Source organism: Homo sapiens, chromosome 17, assembly GCF_000001405.40.
Source record: "Homo sapiens chromosome 17, GRCh38.p14 Primary Assembly".
Taxonomy (NCBI): Eukaryota; Metazoa; Chordata; class Mammalia; order Primates; family Hominidae; genus Homo; species Homo sapiens.
Window position 1 is genome coordinate 52,069,431 of NC_000017.11, and position 22,096 is coordinate 52,091,526.

Here is a 22,096-nt window from a genome sequence, read left to right on the forward strand (position 1 = left end):
AGTTGTGGGTAAGGTCAGAGGAAGGCATAGGTTTGAGCAGGTAAACAACATCTGTTAAACACTTAGGCAGGCAGAATCCCAATACTGTGTTGCCTCCTTTACATGTATAAACCCTGTTGGAGCCCTTGTTACCCTGAGTCATGGATTTATGGCTTATCTTCCTCTTTAGACTGTAGGCTCACCTTTGAGTAAGAATCATGTGTGAGTTACCTGTTTATTAACCGCCCAAACTTGGTGCTCAGCACAAGGTAGGTACTCCATAAATGCTATTGAACTGACCAAAGTGGGGCATTTGCGTGCTGAATTAACCTTGTACTCACCATTGTTATAGAGCTCATATATTTTTATCCACCACAGCTTTGTTGAAGTCACAGATTCACAACTGTTATGCCAACTGACTATTATTTCTAGACACTTCAGTGAGGAACTTATGGGACGATAAAACTAGTTCAGTCATATCAAGTTCTCTCCTATTTCACACATCCATAACCTGAAAAAAATCTCAGTAACAAATTGAAGAACACTCTTAACTTTATAGTCAAGTAATAAGAGGTAAGGGGTCCATTGTTTGCCACAAGTACCCACTCAGATAAAGTAGGTCATCTGGAGTCAGATGTTAGAGCCCCAGGTTCAGTTGCTTAATCCACAAATTCTCATGACTCTTATCCTTTTCAACAGAGTTGGAGTTCCCAAAAGTTTAGAAAGTGGAATCATCAGATACCAATCTTCTCTACCAGAAAGACAAAAGGCTTTAGACCTGTTAAATTCAGAGGATGAGGAAGTCATCTTTTAGTTGTCCACTGTGTAGAAACCCTTGACCTTATAAATTCAAGCATCCCCCATGTTTCAGGCATCTTGAGAAACCCTTACACACATTATTACACTATCCAGTTTGTAATTGTCTCCCTCAAGCAGATACCAACAACAATTGACATATACTGACTCAACATGCACCAGACATGAACATACACACATTACCTCCATTATGCAATTTAATCCTCAGCAAACCTCACAAGGCTGATTTAGTCCTTATCTCCATTTTACAGATGAAGAACCCAGGGAGCTGAGCTGGGTAGGTAACTTGCTGACAGTCCTACCAACAAGAAACCACAGAACCCAGACTCAAGTCCCATCAACTCTGACTTCAGAGGCCATGATCACACTTGCACACGTTACTGCTTCCCATGTAGTAAGGTTTACATATATTATCTCAATTAAATTTGAGAGTGAGGAAAAGTTATTTTATATCAACATGTAAGGGGACAATAAAAATTATTTCCTGTGGTTGTCTTAGAAGCAACAACCAACTCAAAATAGGGCCTTGAACACTTTAAAGAAAGAATGTGACAACAGAGAAAAAAACATCGAAAAATGTGAGGCAGACACACAACATTTTGCAGTGACCACCCAGTTCTACCCATGGGCATGTCAATCACTACAGAGGATGTTCTCTTTACAGGTTGTACTAACTTAGCAAGACTTCTTATTACCTGGAGAGAATACCCTTTATTTCTCTAATTCCATACTCAAAAGGTACAAGAATATAATTATAAATGTAACTTCTGAGATATCTTGAATATAACAGATTTCCTAGGAAAAAAGTATGTAAACATTCTATTTCTTTAAAAGGGACATCCTCAATTGTAAGTATTGAATGCCATTTGTCAATATTGTTTCACATGAACATAGCTTGTGCCAATGAAATTGTTATATCATTAGAAACCTGGTCATTTCTAGATGAATTAATCAAGTTCGGTTTCTATGTTCACTGGGCCATAGAATAGATGTGCCATAGTAAATTTATGAAGTTAATAATATTCATTTCTGAGGCTATTTGGCAGCCAGTTGGCTTTTTCCTGGGTCACCCACTCTCCCTTACCATGCCTGCTTTCCTCCAACTGCAAAGCCTCACGAGTACTTATAATTGCCCCATCATACAAATGAGAAAAAATGATGCTCAGAGGGGTTTTGTGACTTGCTTAGCTCTGCACAGCTGGTGTAATAGACTCTACAGAAGGACAGGAAAAGAAGACATAGAAGCCAAGAATGAATGAGGTGACCTGGGACTCTGCTCTTTCTATTTGCCACCAACTACAGAGACCTCAACTGACATCTCCAGCCCTCTGCTTTCAGTGCCGGAGTAGAGATTGCACACTGGCTCCTGCTGAGAGCTTTATTTCTTATTCTCACATCTGAGCAGTTAAAAATACTTTGAAATATGTCACCTGCCTTCCCTTCTATCCTTGCCTTTTGCTTGCTTTTTCTCTTGCCTCGCTTTACTAAAGCAGCAAAAGCAAGAGGACCATTAAAAGCAAGAGGACCATAATGAGGGTAAGAGTAGTGGGAGGAGACACAGGGACCCTCCACCTTGCTTCTGAACGAAAGTCATAATATAATCCTTGCTTTAATCTGTATTCAGTTCTCTGTCCTCTGCCCGCATGCTGACAAGATCCACTTTACCTGGTATTTTTAGCTGATACTTGGCGCGATGTGCTAAGTGCTGGCCATGGATGCTGCTAAAGTGACAGCATGTGTTCCAGCAGCTCCATTGCCATGGTCAGTCTTTTCATAGTTCCTGTTTCATTAATGTTAAGAAATGGCTCTTCCTTACTTAACCAAATGTCAGCAGACACAGCTTCGGCCCTTAATCATCCATCCCCCTGCCCCTGAGGGCATCCTATAGATTGAAGGACATTGAGACTGCAGGCTCAGATGGAAAAAAAAGTAATCTAATTGCCTGTTACTTAACAAACTTTGTCTTGATGGAGTATTCATTGCACACATAAATTAGACTGCCTCACCTTTTGCAATGTAAAATCCTGGAAATAATGCTAGCCTTCATTCTAATTGTTTTTAATAAATAAATTAAAGAATTAATGTGTACTTACCTGGAACAAAGCTTCCCTGGACCACCTCCTTGTATGCCCACCAGCCTTCATGGATTTTTGGTGAATTCTGTTGAGCTAAAGGAAAAGCAAAGAAGAGAGATTAAGATGATAGCAGAGAAGCACTGTGTCCCGGCTGTCCGAGTAAGAAGGGTGAATATCCATAAAATAACCCTTTTCTACCCCAAAGTCATACTACAACAGAACCTTCCTTCTCCCTTCCCTTTTTTTTTTCAAATAGATCATTGATCGGTAAATATAAAAACATTTTTATTGAAAGTTCTCTGATATTTTAATTGATGTTAAAGAGATAGTAATTATGTATTTAAGTCCCCTGCTACCTGTCCTCATCATCTTCCCCATACACACACACACACACACACACACACACACACACACACAACACACACACAGTGCTCCTGCTGAAACTGAGGAGACAGTAGGCAGATCCCATCCATGTATGTCCATGGAACCCTTGTTTTGGGAGAGATTGAAGTTTGCTGAGGGAGCCAGTCTGGAAGGCTGAAAGGTATACCCAGCCAGCTTTCCTTAGGTCCCAGGAAAATGAAAACAAGAATATAAATAACTGTGGTGGAGGTTTTTGACATCACAGGCAAAAAGGGCAGAGGGCTCAAGATATTGGAAAATATCGTGGAGATCTGTAAGCTCATGCTGACATGACCTCAGGGAAACCCTTGAATTCATGACAGTTGACAAGTGAATTGGGGCAATGCCATTACACATGCACACAAACCCCAAAGTATACATGATACATAAATTTATGCTTATCCCTTTATTAAACTACATTCATATTTCAATTCCCAGACACATTGGAAGAAAATAAGTGAATCAATCATATTTGTAATTTGGCTACTATTAATGTTAAATCTTAACTTTTTTCTTTTCTTCTTTAAATCTGGTGGGGGTTTTTTTCCAGCCTTCCTCTTCAAAGTTCTAGGGAAAAGACTCATCATTCTGAGTTAGAAAGAATGGGTATAAGACAATGGGTTTGAATGCAAGGCTTTGTATAGAGAGAAGATTTACTAGATTTCTCTAGTTTCCAGATAAGCTTGGACTGTTTAGCTTCAAGTCTCTTCTTATAGTATAGTGAAGATACTTTTTCTTCCTATGATATTAAGAGCCCTGAGGCTTGTATCTTTGTGGTTGAAGGAGATTTTCTGACATAGGATGAGTGAAACTGAAGCCCACTCCTTCTGGAACTGACAGTGGGCTTAGGGGACTTTAAAAACAAATAAAAGAGAGACAAAGAGCTTATTTAAGACTCTGGAAAAAATAACACCTTTAAATTTGCCCAGCACAAATCTCAGGCATGGACACACAAAAGTATCCTGGATTTCCTGGTATTCTTATTGCCCCTGTGGTGTGGATAGAGTTCAGACATTTCCATAGCCCTTGAGGAAGATCCCGAGGTCAGCTGAGTTGGAAGCCAATGCATCTGCTCTGGGACAGCAGGCAAAGGAGGAAGTCACCTCAAAGCAGAAGCCAGAAAGGTTCTGTCCAACCAGGGAGTCAGGCGGAAGATTCAACTGAGACTCTGGGAATTTGCAGCACCAGGGAAAGACAAGGAGATTTGAAGTCAGCCAGGAGGTCTTTAGACCCGACCAAGCCAAGAAACCAAATCAAGGTTTGGATATGGCTGCAAAATTCCCCAAGTGGGTAGACAACATTTCTCTAGAGTTCAGAAAGGGTTCTGATTCTTCCTCTGGGTCTTGGTATTGCCTGACTCACCCTCCTTCTCCCCCAATTCGTTAGACAGTCATCATAGGAGCCAGAGGAGAATCCCAAAGGCTTAGAAACCTGTGAGATCAGATATCTAATGGCCCTCTTATGAAACAACTACTTTGTAATGCTCACCTTGAGTATAATTAAATAAAATTCACGGACAGTACAACCTACTAAAAAACAACAACAAGAAAACCAAACCCCAAACCTGATAATTCTCTAAACTTCAGCCTAGCTCTGCTAGACATGTAAAATGTCTCAAGCCTGGGAAAAATGCATGTTTCTAAGATCTTAAAAGCATTGAACTATAAACATCACCTAACAGTTTTGCATCAGAGATAAGCCAGGACTGGTTTTCCTTACAACAGGCAAAAACTTCAGAGTTTTATAAAAACTCACACCAAGTTTTATCCAGTCAGGATTACTGACTGTCATCAAACAATTTAAACCATAAATCCAGCCTTCTCTCTTTATTCTACGAGACAGTCATTGGGGAAGCTGCATTATCTTGCATGTGTTTCATTACCCCAAATAAATATACACTTAGCACTCAAATTTTGTTACATTAAGCTTTTTACCTAATTATTTTACAAAAAAATTTTTACAGTGTTTACACATCACTTTAAAAATTTAATGTAGTGCTTTAACTATAAATAAAAGAAATGTAATTTATAATAATATATATTTCAATGTGAAAATGCTTGAGTATGATACACTAGAACAGAGATTGGAAAACTTGTGCCTGCTAGCCAAATATGGCCCATTGCCTGTTTCTGTACTGCACAAGAGCTAAAAATGAATTTACATTTTTAAATGGTTGAAAAAAAAGGGTTGAAAAAAATGTTTTGACATGTTAAAATTATATTACATTCAAATTTCAGTGTCCATAATGTTTTATTGCCAAATAGCCAAACATATTTATTTACATAGTCTCTAGAGTTGCTTTCTCACTACAATGGCAGAGTGGAATAGTTATGACAGAGACCATTTGGCCCACAAAGCCTAAAATGTTTCCTCCATGGCTCTTTACTGAAAAAATTTGTTGAGTGCTAATTTACATACATAATTTCAAAAGGAAAAACAATCAATATAATCAATATAGTGCTTTAACTATAATACAAGGGGGAAATACAAGGAACATAATGTAAAACAAAATATTATATATTTCAATATGTAAATACCTGGGCATGGTGCACTAGAAGAAGATAAAATGAAGAAGTTGGATGCTTAATTAACACAGACACAAATAACAACTTCATATTATATTAGAGATTCCAGAATCCACAAGTGGCATTTCTCTCAATGGTATGTGGTTTTCCAAAATAGTGAACTCTTGGGAAAGATTAGAACACAATTAAGTACCACCTTCTCTTGATTTACATGATCTTTGCATTGCTAAAGAACCAGGTATAATAAAACTTTGTAAGACATGCTTTGTGTGTATATGCAAAATGGAGTTTGATTGGAGGGTCAAATAAATAAAACAGTTTTTCCAATCACTTGAATGTCTGTTGGGACATGGGATAATTTATCGTTGTTTCTAACTATCTAATATGTTGCAGAGCATAGCATCTCTGTCCCCCTTTAGTTGTTGCTAATTGCCACTCTTTCATTATAACAATCTTAAGTGCCCTCACCCATTTCCAAAATATTCCCCCAGAAACGGTGACATCCCTATTGACAGTCACTGACCTAAAGGTGCTATTTATAGTACTTACATGTGCTAAAAGAGGATAAAATGAAACATTATGTTGAACACTAGAGGATAGCGCTTTGTCTAAGTAGACAAAAGATACATCTTTCCCCATCTATCTGAATTGTAGTGTCATATGGAATACATTTGCCACCCCATTACCCCATTATATGTTCAAATATTTTTTCTACTCTTTCCTGCCATTTGACCATATCATTAAGAAACTTTCATTTCTACAAGGGATAAAGCAGTAAGGAAAAAAGAGAAAGCATACATGCATGTTGTCAAGACGGCAAAAAAGGGAAAGCTAACTCTAATAAAACCTGAGTAAGATGACTAGGTTCTCAGATTTTTAGATGCATTCCTAGTCCCTCTTTTTATCTCTCTTCTTACATGTGCATATCTTCCACACTCCCCTCTAAGGACAACCTATCAGTCGAACTGAAATATCAATTTAAGAAACATCTATCTAGAAGGAAGAAGAAAGAAGCCCCTGGGTAAGTAAGAGTATTGGCACTGACAAGATTATCACCAAAAGCTTCTGTTCCATCCAGAAAGTTGCAAAACACTTTGCTCTTTCTTCATCTCCAATCATTGCTTCTTTGGCTATCACATCCATTCAGAAGCAGAACTATGTAAGATTTTAGCAGGTAATAAGACAATCAGACCATCTGAATAAAGCCTATTGTAATAGTAGAACTGCAGAGCTCCTGTTAGCTGTCTTTGATGTGCATTGTGAAGAACCAAATTCACCCTCCAAAAATCAATCAGCTGGAAGAGCCCATTTGATGTCTATCAATTACAAAATTTAATGGCTGCAGACTAGAAGAAAATAAAGATGATTTATGTAATGTTTTCAAATTCCCTTGGATGCTCAGGCTGGCCTCATACTGTTTGGTAATTTAGAAAGACAGGATGGCACATTTAAAAAGGTACCTCACTTAAAGTTCTGCCACAGTACTACAAGAAGTTTATTATAGATGGATCTCCTAGAGAAATACAGGATTCTTATTTTAACGCCTCCCACCAGATCCTTGGTAGTCATCTTGTTGTTGTTTACATGTGATTTGAAGTGAGTGAAGAGCTGATTGAGAATTCCTCAGAGCAAACAGGTGAACAGAGAGCCGCCTGAGCTTTTACAGCATTCTATGCTCCTCTTTGCCTAGGTATGGATCAGAATTTTTTAATGTGCAACCAGCCCCTGGGAAAAATCCAGGTGTCTAATTAAAAAAATTGTGTTGACAATAAAAATTGTCATCACTGCCAGAGGAAAAGATATACATAGCAAGGAAAAATCTATTTCAGTTTTATTCTTGGTTTATTTTTCACTGTGGCAGTTTGAGAACTGATGATTTTCCAAAGGAAACTCTGAATCTCAGAATTTTGAGAGACAATGTTCATTGCTCCAATGGCTTCTTATACAAGTGAGCAGAATTATCTTACATAATTCTACTTCTGAATGAATGGGATAGCTGAAGAAGTCATCGTTGGGGATGAAGAAAGAGCAAAGTGTTTTGCAACTTTCTGGATGGAACAGAGGCTTTTGGTGATCCCTTCTTGCACAGAGAAGGGAACCTCACTTGTAAGAGGTTGGGGTCTTAAAACAGAGGTCAGCAAATTTTTTCCATAAAGGGCGACATAATACATGTTTTAGGCTTTGAAGCCCATACTATTTCTGTGCCAACTGCTCCACTTTGCCATTGTAGCACAAAAACAGCTGTATACAATATGCAGGGGTGTAGCTGTGTGCCAGTACAATTTTATTTATGAAAACAAAGAGCTGGATTTGATCTGTAGGCCATAGTTTGCTCAGTTCTGTCTTGGATCTAAAAGATTTTTGTTATCCAGTTCTGTTTCTTACTTAAATGTTCAGAAGTGAGCTACTTTACAAAAAAAAAAAAAAAATCAGAATGTTGAAATATATGGGTTTCTAATTACATGTGCCTGATATCTGATCAGTATGTACTGCAGAAGGTATCTATCATACTAAATCTTTTCCAGATCTGAAATTGGTCACCAGCATCTACATAAAATTGAATATTTCCCTCTCTCCACCCGATTTCCATTGGGCTAAACCACCAAAGCTGGTGGAGCTTTATATAAACAAGGCCTACAACCCATGCTGGGTTTTTCAAACCAGTCAATAAAGACCTGAACAATATCTTGATCCCCTTTTGTTCTTCCCACAAGTCCATAAACTCTCTCAAGCAAGTATGGGCCTGCCAACCAACTTAAAAAATTATGTTCATATACCCACTGACCACAAATACAGGCATCACACCAACAAGTCTTTGGATCCAGACTAAAACTTCCCAAAGATGATGTGATCTGGCCTGTGAGTAGATCCCTATCATTAACAGAGCTTACTGCTCCAAGTCAACTAATTTAACTAACTTAGGTTCAGAGAAAACATAACTGCGAAATACCTCCATTTGGAAATTACAGTGGTCTCTTGACCTGGTGGGAAACAAGACTTAAAAGCAACATCTGAGATAGCACAGTTGAGGTAGGGAAGGAAATGGTGCAATAGGGAACAGAAGAGCCCTCACAAAGGGATCCAGTTGGGGAAGGGATGTTGCTTAATAAAACTCCACCATCAGTCAAAACATACCAAACCATAAGCACATACATTGCAAAAATAAGCTTCCAAGCCCTGGGTCAGTACAATTATACCTGTGCCAAGTGGTCTACAACTAGCAAAGATGAAGCCAGATATAGAGGAGAGGCAGAGTACATACACTGCTATGGTTACTTCATTTTAATGTAATGGTAGAAGCCCTGAATGGTTGTTTCCCTCAGAAATTGCATTTCTCCACTGGAGGAGGTAATTCAAGGAGGAAGGTACCAAGTCTACTGACCAGGAAACAACATAAGTTGGAAGGTAAAAAAGTACTTCTAACATTGGATGCATATCCATGACATCACTTCTTTCCTTGCATGGCCAATTTTGTGTTCTAAGTGGGAAGCAGGAACATTGAGAAGTGCATGGATCGTCAGAAGAAACATAAATGACTGCCCCATTGAGCTGCATGGCACTCACTAGACTAACGGGGATAATGCCCTTCCTCAGGTGCTTGACTTTTACAACACCCGGAAGGTATTTTTCTTCTGTGCACTCTCTGTATTATGTGTGGTCCTACATTCTAACATTTAGATAGTGCCCCACACTATCTGTTTCCATATCATTCATTTCCACCTAACCGTAACCTTCCTGAGGTCAGAGAATATATCTTATTTTAAAATTCCATTATTTGGCCGGGTGTGGTGGCTTACTCCTGTAATCCCAGCACTCTGGGAGGCCGGGGCACGCGGATCACGAGGTCAGGAGATCGAGACCATCCTGGCTCACACGGGGAAACCCCGTCTCTACTAAAAATATAAAAAATTAGCCGGGCGCTGTGGCGGGCACCTGTAGTCCCAGCTACTCGGGAGGCCAAGACAGGAGAATGGCGTGAACCGGGGAGGCGGAGCTTGCAGTGAGCCGAGATTGCACCACTGCACTCCAGCCTGGGCGACAGAGCGAAACTCCGTCTCAAAAAACAAAAACACAAACAAAAATTAGCAGGGTGTGGTAGTACATTCCTGTAATCCCAGCTACTTGGGAGGCTGAGGCAGGAGAATCGCTTCAACCCGGGAGACGGAGGTTGTAGTGAGCAGAGATCACACCACTGCACCCCAGCCTGGGGGACAGAGCGAGACTCCGTCAAAAAAAAAAAAAAAATTCCATTATTTATGCAAAAGCTTAGTACATAATAAGTGCCAGAAAAATATTGGGTGAATGCCTGATAAACGTGGTAGTGAAGTTGTATATTATACCAACTTGCAGTCCAGCTCACACAATCCTTGGGAGGTTTTAGTCTCTATCCAAAGACTTGTGGGTGTGACGCCTATATTTGTGGTCAGTGGGAATGTGGACAAAAGTGGTTTCAAGTTGGTTGACAAGCCCACACGTGCTTGACAGATGGAAGAGTACCAGGAGCTGACACCCTGCCTAGGGAAATCAAAGCCTTAGCAAACCCACTTTTATTTAGCACAATGTGTTTCATTTAAAAGCAAAGGGGAAGATGTGTCATACCTGGAACTATTTACATCTCTGTCTTTCTTTGCTTTTCCTGAATTCGCAAGACAGGATGAAACTCATTTCTATCTCTCCATCCTATGTGAAAACCCCACTTGCCATACAAACTAGACAGGACACTCAGAACATTGAGAATTGAACTGGTTAATGGGTGACAAAGTGACTATTTCCAAAGAGAGAAGATGGGTATGACCTAGAATCACCTTGCGTGTTGGACCAGACCTAAGCAAGCTGACAAAATTATATTTGTGTTGGGAGATAAGAAAAAAATATTGATGGCGGGTAGCCCGTATTACTTTCATCTAAAATGCTTAGCATGATACTATTTTTAAGAAGTTCAAGGCCAGGCGCAGTGGCTCACGCCACTAATCCCAGCACTTTGGGAGGCCAAGGTGGGCGCATCACGAGGTCAGGGGATAGAGACCATCCTGGTTAACACGGCAAAACCCCGTCTCTACCAAAAATACAAAAAATTAGCTGGGCTTGGTGGCCGGCGCCTGTAGTCCCAGCTACTCGGGAGGCTGAGGCAGGAGAATGGCATGAACCAGGGAGGCGGAGCTTGCAGTGAGCCGAGATTGCACCACTGCACTCCAGCCTGGGTGACAGAGCGAGACTCCATCTCAAAAATAAATAAATAAATAAATAAATAAATAAATAAATAAATAAATAAATATTAAAATAAATAGAGAGAAGCTCAAAGGTAACTAGACTTGAAAATCATCAGGAGGAAAGTCCCTATTATGGCTAATTCTCAGCCTAGTATTCTAGAATTTCTGCAATTTGGGTTTACCACACATTTAATATCATTTCTCATAAAATTTACAAGAGTCATTCTTCCTGCTGTCCCCAGGTATACCACGTTTATTACTCTCTCCACACCTTCACTCTGCCCTTTTTCCCCCCGAAATTCCTTCTTTGTCTACTTTTTCTTGACCTGGTCTTACTCAATTCTCAAAGCCTCTCCAATTTACACTCCTTTCAAGAAAGGTGTACTGATCATTCCAACTCTACTGTAATCCCTAACTTCCCTGAATTTCAGAACTTTAGTGTCTATTCCTCATTTGCCATTCCTGTTAATTCAAGAAACATCTAGTGAGTACCTATGATTGTCAGTAAGTATTCTAAGCATTGAGGGTACAAAGTTCCTGTTTTCCATGAAGTTATTAGGTGGGCGCAAAAGTAATTGTGGGTTTTGCTGTTAAGTAATGGCAAAACCATTAACAGCAAAACCCACAATCACTTTTGTGTAAACCTAATACATTCTCCGGGAGGGAGACAGAGAAAAGGAAAGAACTGAATTCAAATATATAAGAAAAATTGGAGAAAAGTACTCTGTGATATAGAGGGTGAGGTAGTAAAGTGACTAGAAGAACATATGAGATTGTATGACAGTGATGGTCTCTGAAATTATGACACTTAATCAGAGATTTAAATAAAAATAATTGGCTTCATGAAGATCAGCAGTGGTAGTATTTCAGGTGGATTCAAAGACTGAAAGTTGGCAGAAATAAGTTTGGCTTCTTTAAGAAAACTAAAAGTGGCCAATAGGTGTGATAATAGTAGATACAGGGGAGAGGCAGGCTAAAAATGAGGCCGGACAATGTAAGTAGCGGCCCAAGAGAAAGGTGGTGGTGGCTTCAACTAGGGCAGTGCTGGTGAAAATAGAACATCATAAGATTTAGATGAAGCGGCCGGGCGCGGTGGCTCACGCCTGTAGTCCCAGCACTTTGGGAGGCCGAGGCGGGCGGATCACGAGGTCAGGAGATCGAGACCATCCCGGCTAAAACGGTGAAACCCCGTCTCTACTAAAAATACAAAAAATTAGCCGGGCGTAGTGGTGGGCGCCTGTAGTCCCAGCTACTTGGGAGGCTGAGGCAGGAGAATGGCGTTAACCTGGGAGGCGGAGCTTGCAGTGAGCCGAGATCCCGCCACTGCACTCCAGCCTGGGCGACAGAGCGAGACTCCGTCTCAAAAAAAAAAAAAAAAAAAAAGATTTAGATGAAGCATGGATAAGACTTGGTAATGAACTGGATGAGAGAAGTTGAAGACTTCTCTCAAGGAAAACTCCCACCCTTTTTAGTCTGAGTGACTAGATGTTGACAGTTACTGAGATGACCAGGGAGACTAAGGGAGTAATTTGGGAGCATCTTCAGTCTCCTCATGGCTGCAACACTTTCTTTGTATATTTTTAACATATATTTTGCTATTACTTCTCTCTCCCTGACTAAATTAAAGCTGTCTCAAGGGTAAAAATGTTGTGCTTTGTCTTCCATAATGCAACACATATCGTAGGTACACTGGCACAGTGTTTGACAAATATTTGCTTAATAAATCTAGGAAAGGGAGAATGACATGTGAACCTCCATTTATAAATGTTATTTACAAGTTTTATAGAAATATTCACTCTGATGACTACCCTCTATGATTTCCTTGGAATAAGTTTAATGATAAAAGGTCCTTAGAATTCAAAGAAGAGTGTAACTCAATAATAGTGGAACACAAAAGAAAAGGGACAAAAAGATTACCTCTAATCTCTGTAATTTTAAGAGGGTAACTATAATTTTGCTTCTTTCACCAAACATTACGTCTTGTTTTTTCATTCTTATTTTTAATGTACAGATACTAGTTATTTTAGTAGCTATGCCATAATTTACCAATTATTCCTTCCCTATTGGTTATCTAGTTGTTTGAATACTGCACTTAACCTTCTCAGGTACAAAGCTTCCCTCACTCATCCTCTTTTAGACCTTTCTTTAGCACAGTGAGCCAAAATCACAGTCAAGGGACAGAAGTATATATGTTGAGTTACTTTGTAAAAAATGTTATAACAATCTGCATTGCCACAAAAGTATAAATTATTATTTCTCAAAGGAAAATTCTGGTGGTACTTTCAGGATAACTACATAATAAAATAATGCTAACCATTTAAATATAATTTTGACTTCTGACAAATAGGCAACTTAAGAAGCATCATTAGTCTAATGAATGAATCTGTTCTGTCATCAGCTCATGAGATGGACATTTCATAGAAATCTATTCCATATTTTTACTATTATTTATCTGTTTGGAATCAGGTATAGATTTATTCTCTGTAAATATTGTAGCTCCTTTTTGTAGTAGAGTGTATTTATGTTTTTAAACAGATGGATGAAACTTCAGATCCCAAGAGTACAAGTCCATGCCTAGGTTCATGCAGCCTCCCATAAATCATAGCAATAAGGAAAATGTGTATGTGCTATATTCAGAATGCTAGGAGCATACTAATAACTCCATTTTTAAACTACAATTGGAAATAAACTACTGGTAATTCCTAAAATCAATGGGTCAGTCAATTGTGGGGTTAATCTCATGTCACATAAAACTTTCTATTACAGCTGAAATCTCTGAATGAGACTAAAATCTCCTTGTATCTCTCTTAAGCTTGAATTCAGCAAGGCTAAATGCAACGAAAAGAAAGAAATCCAGCAGAATTGTTGGTTTGGGAGGCAGTGTGAAATGATGGAAAATACATGGCACCCTGGGGTTAAATCACAAATTTGCTACTAATTGTGTCACTTTGGGCGAATTATTTCATCTCTTTTTAAAAAATGTTTATTTGTATAAATTTAAAAAGTACAAATGCAGTTTTTTAAATACAGATATATTGCTTAGTGGTGAAGTCTAGGCTTTTAGTGTAACCCTCACCTTAATGGGTATATTATACTCCTTAAGGAATTTCCCATCCCTCATCCCCCTCACTCTCCCACCCTTCCAAGTCTCCAATGTCTATTATTCCACTATGTCCATGTGTATACATTTATAGCTTATAGCTCTCACTTATAAGTATTTGTGATATTTGACTTTCTGTTTCTGAGTTATTTCACTTAAGCTAATGGTCTTCAGTTCCATCCATGTTGCTGCAAAAGATGTGATTTCATTCTTTTTTATGGCTGAGTAGTATTCCACGGTATGGATATACCCCATTTTCTTTACGCACTTACCCATTGATAGAGACTTATGTTGATTCCATATCTTTGCTATTGTGAACAGTACTGCTATAAACATATGAATTCAGTTATCTTTCTGATGTAATTATTTCTTTTTTAGAGTAGATACCCAATACTGTGACTGCAGATTGAATGGTAGTCTATTTTTAGTTACCAAGAAAACTCCTCTAAATTGTGAGCCAACTTGTGGAAGAAAAAAGATAGCCCTCCCTGACTGAAAAAAGACTTAAAGAGCCTCTGAGGACATTCGTGCCATTTGTGAGTCAAAGTACAGTCACTGAAGAAACTTGGGGAACAGAATATAAGACTTGCAGCAGGAAAAAAACTGATTCAGGGAACTCATGCAGGAAACATGTGGTCTTCGCTGGGACAAAGCCCAGAGAAAGCCCAATGCCCGGTAGAAAAGTAGGCAAAATGACCTATTAAGTCAATTTGCCATGGTGGGACATAAAGCCACATGCAAACCATAGGAAAAGGCCAGGGCAGATTTATTTTTTATGTATATCATAGCTCAACATAGTTTTGTCCTTCATTCTGATTCTGATCCACACAGCATTTGCTGAGCATGCACTATATGACAGGTGCTGTCACATACTTATAAGTGGTAGAGCCAGTGAATTATGACCATATCTGGGCTTTCCACAAGCCAAACTGGAGTTTCATTATATAAATAACCAAGACCAAACTAAAATTTGGAACTTGAATTGTCTGGAGAGTTGTATCTGAGGAGATTTGAGGACCATCCCTATCTCAGCTACTACTTCAATGAGGATGATTCTCAAATTTATATTCCCCACCTGGATTTTTTATTCCAGTTCCATGCAAGCTTTTCAGCAGCCTACTAATTAGAATACTGCTATTTTCCAGGACCTCATGATCACAACTGTCTTCTGCCCCTGTGGCAAAAATAGTGCTACTAAATCTCCCAATATTTATTTCCCCTTCTTCCTTAACAAGGAAAACTCTGGTTTTAGTAAGACATCACAGAATACAGACTATATTAGCCATATCTCCTTTGTAGGTAGGTGTGGACATGTGAATAAGTTCTGGTTAATGAGATGTTAGAAAATGTATAAGAGTTCCAGGAAGTGCTAAAAGAAAATGCTATGCCTCTCCTCACCTCTTCCAGCAAGCCGGGATGTGGACATCATAGCTAGACTTCAAATAGCCATCCTGAACCATCATGCAAATGCCTTATTTTCAGCATCAAGATAGAAAGAGCTGGGATCCCTGCATGGCCTACATTTATAAGATATAAATAAATCTCCATCTTATTTAGACTTATCCATCACTCATAGCTGAAACTAATCCTAGCTGATACACACTTGCCTTCAATACCCATGGAGTGAAGACATTGACTCTACTTCTGCTATAGCTCTAATCCATTCTTTCCTTCACATTTCTACTGCCTAGACACAGATCCTAGACAAAGGCCCTCAGTGATTACTTAAATGGCCAATTATAGTGGCCTAATAACTGGACTCCTATGTCCATCCATGCTCCCTGCTGTGGTCTTCACACCTCCTGCATGATTATGTTTCCTGTTTACAGCAGCACTGTGTCCATGTCGTCTTTCACTTTTGAGGGGTAGTGAAAGACATGCACAGAGTCTTCCTATGAAGCTCATTTACCAGCTATTTACACAGCCAGGTCCAAACTCATTGACCATCTTTCAAGTCTCTCTGCAAAGCCCTTCAATGACTCCCTATTGGTTACACGATAATGTGCAAGTGTTCCAATGAAACTTTCAACAAACTGTATGGTGTGGTTAACTTATCTGTTTTCCAAAACTCATCCTATCTCCTTTGGGCATCTTTTCTCTGTGCTCTCATGGCATTTATTATATACATTTACTTATAACATATATATTTTTCTTAAATAACCTCTTCATGAGATTGTCCTCCTGTCAGAATAGGTGCCCTGTAAATGTATTTGGACTGAAGTAAATTTAGACATTTGTTTCTCACTGACCAACCCTAGTCAGACTGAACTATCTGCTCTTGGTGATGTTTGCCATGTGTTCACACTATTTACTTTTACTGGAATATCATATTCTTTACTGTATATCCAAAGTAAACCAATATTTCAAGTGTTTGCTCAAACACTACCTTCTAAAAACCTTCCGTGGTTTCTCCAGATAAAAGAAAGCTCTATTATAATCTCTGAAGTTTCTTACCATATTGTATACAATTTATTTCATTTCAGTCCAATTCGATATGATTCAATTCAATCAAATCCAGAAAATATTAATATTTAGAACATACTCATTATGTTTGCATACTCATTCTAGGTCTTTATTTTGGAGTGGTTTACAGTGCAATGAGAAATAAGGGGATGTCTTTAATATATTCTAGGCTAAAGTGTATGCAATATACAAATTAAGATAATGATAGTGTTGACAATGCTAGTTTACCTGCGAGAACAGGCAAACTCTAAAATCTCAATGGCATAGTACAAGTTTATTTCTCATACATATAAATTTCCAAACTGGTTTTCCTGATTGGCATATAGCTCTCCAAGTCAGGGCCCAGGTTTCTTCTGTCCTGTGGCTCTGCTATCTGCAATACAAGACTTCAAAGGCCGCTATGCTGTGTAGGTCAAGCCAGAATGGAAAAAAGCGTGGAGGATTTTTCAAAAGTTGTTTTCCTGGCTTAAACCTAGAAATAATATTCACTACTTCTGCCCACATTTCATTGACTAGAACTTGGCCTCTTTAATACAACTAAATGTAAAAGGAGGCTAGGGAAATGTAGTCCAGCTGTGGACTACACAGTGGTGTTGGATTGGATAGAACTGAGGGAAGTCTTGTAGAATCCCTCACACACAATGACACTGAAGAGAATTTGAAAGTTTTCCACTCCCTTAAAATGGACCAAGAAGAGGAGTAAATATTTTTTGGAGAACATGCAGCCAGAGTGGTTATAACTTCTAATTTGTCTAGAATATTCTATTTGCATTTGTTGTCCCAATATTGTTATAAAATGGGGTCTCAAAGATGTCCCAGTTTAGATGATAAATTATGTGATCATCTCTACACTTAGCAGTCTTTTCCACATGCAGCTTTAGCCATTTTGAAGACTCTGTTGTAGGGCATTTAGGTTTCTACCAGATTATCCACATATTGACCCATATTTTGTCTTGTGTGTTTGTTGCCTAAATGAAATCAAGAATGTGCACCTTCTCTCAATCCTCCTACAACCTATCTCTTTCCCCTGCTTTCTTACTCACCATTTGCCAGCCAATAAGTCAATACAAACAACTCAATTGGCTACAGAAGACACAATTACTAGAAACCTGATGACCCAGATACCTTTTCTTGTAATTAATTAATTAATTAATTTTTGAGACAAAGTCTTGCTTTGTTGCCCAGGCTGGAGGGCAGTGGCCTGATGTCGTCTCACTGCAACCTCCGCCTCCTGGATTCAAGTGATTCTCTTGCCTCAGCCTCCTGAGTAGCTGGGATTATAGGCGTGTGCCACCACACCCGGCTAATTTTTCATATTTTTAGTAGAGACAGAGTTTTGCCATGTTGGCCAGACTGGTCTCAAACTCCTCACCTGAGGTGATCCTCCTGCCTTGGCCTCCCAAAGTGCTGGGGTTACAGATGTGAGCCACCGCACCTGGCCCCTTTCCTTGTATTTAAATGCTAGACAAAAAGAGGCAAATGTCAAGAAAGTAAGATTAGAGAAATTAAAGGTTCAGTGGTAGAAGGTATGGAGAATGGTTCCTTCTTCCCTGAATAACTTTTCTTCAACAGCAAATATTCAACATGACTCCCTATGCTGTCTTCAATTCTGTTCTATACAGTGAGAATAGCTGCCGGAATGAGTTGTATTACAACATATTGAATATAATAAGTTGTAATTATCTTATACAGAAATTATTTAATTACATTTAATTTTCTCCTAAATATGAAACAGCATGTTCAGAAAAATGAAAATACAACATAGAATTATACATGTGAAAGGGAGATTTAAGACAGTGTTTTATGCCCCCCTTATTTATCAGATGGGGAAACAGAGTCCTAGAGGAATAAAAACTTTCAGAAGAGTTAACGGTAGAAGCCAACACTATGAGGTCTCTGGTGACCAAATTGCTGCTCTATCAACTACATACAAAAGGATTTTAAAAGGAGCTGAAGGCCATTATCCTTAGTCATAGGACCAGAACACCAAATACCACATGTTTTCACAAGTGGGAGCTAAATGATGAGAGCACATGGACACATAGCAGGGAACAACATGCACTGGGGCCTATTGGAGGATGGAGGGTGGGGAAAAGGGAGAGGATCAGGAAAAACAACAAATGGGTTCTAGGCTTACCACCTGGGTGATGAAATAATCTGTAAAACAAGCCCTCTTGACACAAGTTTACCTATGTAACAAACCTGCACATGTACCCTTGAACTTAAAAAAAGTTTAAAAAAAAAGTCATAAAAGGAAGAATTAGTTGTCAGCTAAACAGAACATCTGAATTCAGTTATTTAGGATAATTAGTTCAGTAGTCAGCAAACTCCAAAGTTTTTAAATATCACATGCAGTCATTCTACCTAAGAAATGTGTAACAATGAGATTCTGTCTTGTTGGCTTATAGAAAAGTGACTCTAGAGGAGTATGTGCACCCTGTATAGGAAAATTGAGTGGAAGAACAGTTTGGCAAGCTCCTGGGTCACAAGTTACAGTAAGCACCTTTTGTTCTTCCATTATTCACCTCCAGCACTCTACCACATAACCTCAAGATCTACTCACTTTGTACATCAAAGACAGATTATTACAAATGAAAAGAATGAACCAATAGGAACTGCTTTCCTTGAGATCCCCCTCTAAAAGTTAATCTTTCAAGGAACAAAGGAAAATGCACTTCAAAATAGGCATTTTCCCCCTCAAACAATAGGTTTTCTCAAATTTCTGAGAATGCCAAGAACACTGTGTTTTTGTTATAAATGTTACATGCCAGCATATGATTACAAAAGCAAGAAATGAAAAGAAAAAAACCCTTACACTTTTTAAAATCACAGGTGAGGCAGATGCCATTTGTAAGAGCTACAACATCCTTAACTTTCAGAAAAGAAAAAATTACCAAGCACAAAAGTGAAAAATACACTATAGATTATATACAAATCTGTCAATAAAATGCTTTCATCATGGTGGCCAGGTTTCACAGATTATGCTTTGTTTAGAAAGTAAGCAATTCCATCATTAGGCTAATGCTCCACAGTGCTACAATTCTACTTCCTTTGGAACAGGCAGGATCATGTAATCACGAATTTCAAAAGATGGGCAAAACCAGACACAGAAAACGTTCCACATGCTGCTGATGCAAATGTTGTACTCTAATTTTCAAGGTCAAAAAGATAGGATAGGAAGATTACAGAAGTGTGCAAGAAATACACCAATATTGACCTTAACTGAGTTTTTGTGTCACTATGTGTACACTTACTATGGTGTTCAATGAAAAGATGCTGGTCTTGGTGAGTGTACAATGTGTGAAAGTGTCACCACAGGGACCAAGGGTGGGCTGGCATTAGGTCTTGGACTTGAGTTGGATTCCAAGGTTTTCTTAGCAGCCAAAAGTTAGCCAAGAGAAGAAATAAAAATAGCTAACATTTAAATAGCTTTTATAGGAAGGCACTGTTCTAAGCATTTTATATATGTATTGACTCATTAAATTCACATCAACTCTCTTTTGTGTTACAGTATTCCTGCCTTCTCTGCAGGGGATTATGTTCCAAGAACCTCAGTGGATGCCTGAAGTCTCAGATAGCTGGTGACTATTTATACTGTTTTTTTTTTCCCTCTATACGTAGACACTTATGATAAAGTTTAATTTACAAATTAGGCATTGTAAGACATTAACAACAATAGCTAGTAAACAATAGAACAGTGATAATATGAAATGTATATATATTTTATATGACATTTATAATATACATATTTTAAAACTCTCAAAACTATAAATTTTATGCATGCATGCATATGTGGTAAAGTTATAAAACCATGGATACATATTAACTTGGAGAAATTGGTTCTCTATCTTGAGAAGAAGGGAGAGATGGGGAATACAATTTGGAAAGGATACACAGATTACTAAAATTTTATTTATTTGAAAATATCAGAAACAAATATGGCAAAATGTTAATATTTGCTATTTTAGAATGATGAGTTATTAGTATTTCACGTATTCTCAGTAGTTTTTCCAGTATGCTTAAAAGAAGCCATGATTTTAAAATAGGCAAGGAAAAATAGGTATAGTTGTAAACAAACAAGTTATTAAGTAACTGTAAACGTGTTTTTAAAAATTAGCTAGAAAAAAGCAACCTCAGAAGGGAAGAGTAAGATAGATAAATCAGTAAGATAGAGATCAGTGAGAATCTTCATAGTTCAAAAGTGATAGGCCAAGTAGGCGTCAATTCTTAAATAGATGTAGTTTTAATGAAATCCTAATTCAGTAACATTAAGGGATTCTTCAGTAACTTAAAACTGTTTCCAAAATTACATGGAAGAACAAACAAGATTTTTTAAAAAGACTTACTTGCAGAGATATCAAAACTTTATAAAGTTATAATAACTAATATGATGAGGTATTGATAAGTAATTGACAGATCAATTAAACAGCATTGATGATGCTGAAATATTCCCTAGCATATTTTTGTATAAGATATAACGGTGTAAATATCAAAATCTACAGCAAAGAAGTGGACTATTTAACAATTACTAAGAAAATTGGCTAATTGTAACAAAAATTATTATATTTGTCATAATATACATCCTGGATAGATTTAAAAGTTAAATGTAAAATGAAAATTTTAAAATAGGTAAATAGAATATAACTATTTTTTTCTGTAAATACAGCATCTTTAAGTTAATGTAGGTTCCTCTTTGTCCTAAACCTAAGGGTTTTTTATGCATTCTAGGTAGACCAGCAGTCTAACTCTCACAGAACATTCAGAGAAATTAAAATAAATTCTGCCCACACCCCTACATGAGATGAACTGGAACGTGGTGTAAAACTGGGTTACAGATCTATGTAGATTATCTGATGATCTGGGCTTCTTTAAAGGAAAGATAAGTGGATACCCCAGGGAAGTTACCATGAACCAAGGAAGACAAAGATTTATGTAAATAGCTGCTGACTACACACTCTTTTTAGTAAACTTACAAATAACAGGATTTTGAACAATACAGCATTAGCTAAATATATTATGGAACACTCACACTAAGAAATATTAAATAATGTTTTTTGAAGATTATGTAAAGACAGAAAAATCCTCACCAAAAAATACTATCTGAAAAAAATCAGCATATAAAAAAGTATATAAAATATGATCCTAATTTTGAGAAGGAAAAAATATCTGGAAGGAAATACAACCAAATGTTAAGTGAGGTTATTTTCAAGTGTTATGATGATGAAGTGAAGTTAATTTTCTAACCACTATTTTCCAACTTTTTGTAATGTGTATTTTTTATGATTAGGATAAAAATGGTATAAAAATTTTTAAAAAGGCAAAACCTCCCACTGTGTGCTGAGCTTCCCCGAACCAGTGAACTAGATTTCACTGAGGACCCTAACAACTTCTCAGTGGTAAAAATAATGAGTTTTCCCAACATTAAGATTTAATTTTCAGTGGTATAGATGGGAGCAAGAAAGCCCAAAGGACATTGACCGTTTCTGAGCCTAATTTCTCACTCCCGCACATTGGCCACTGTGCTGC

At 38.0% G+C, this 22,096-nt stretch overlaps 1 protein-coding gene across 3 annotated transcripts in view; it reads right to left on the reverse strand.

Moving 5' to 3' along the window:
• CA10 (carbonic anhydrase 10) overlaps window positions 1-22,096 on the reverse strand; it is a 529,711-nt gene that overhangs the window by 439,118 nt on the left and 68,497 nt on the right. For all 3 annotated transcript variants that reach the window (NM_001082533.1, NM_001082534.2, NM_020178.5), the window contains one exon: window positions 2,889-2,963. In NM_001082533.1, coding sequence (NP_001076002.1) covers window positions 2,889-2,963 — 75 coding nt within the window. The remainder of the gene's footprint in view (window positions 1-2,888; window positions 2,964-22,096) is intronic.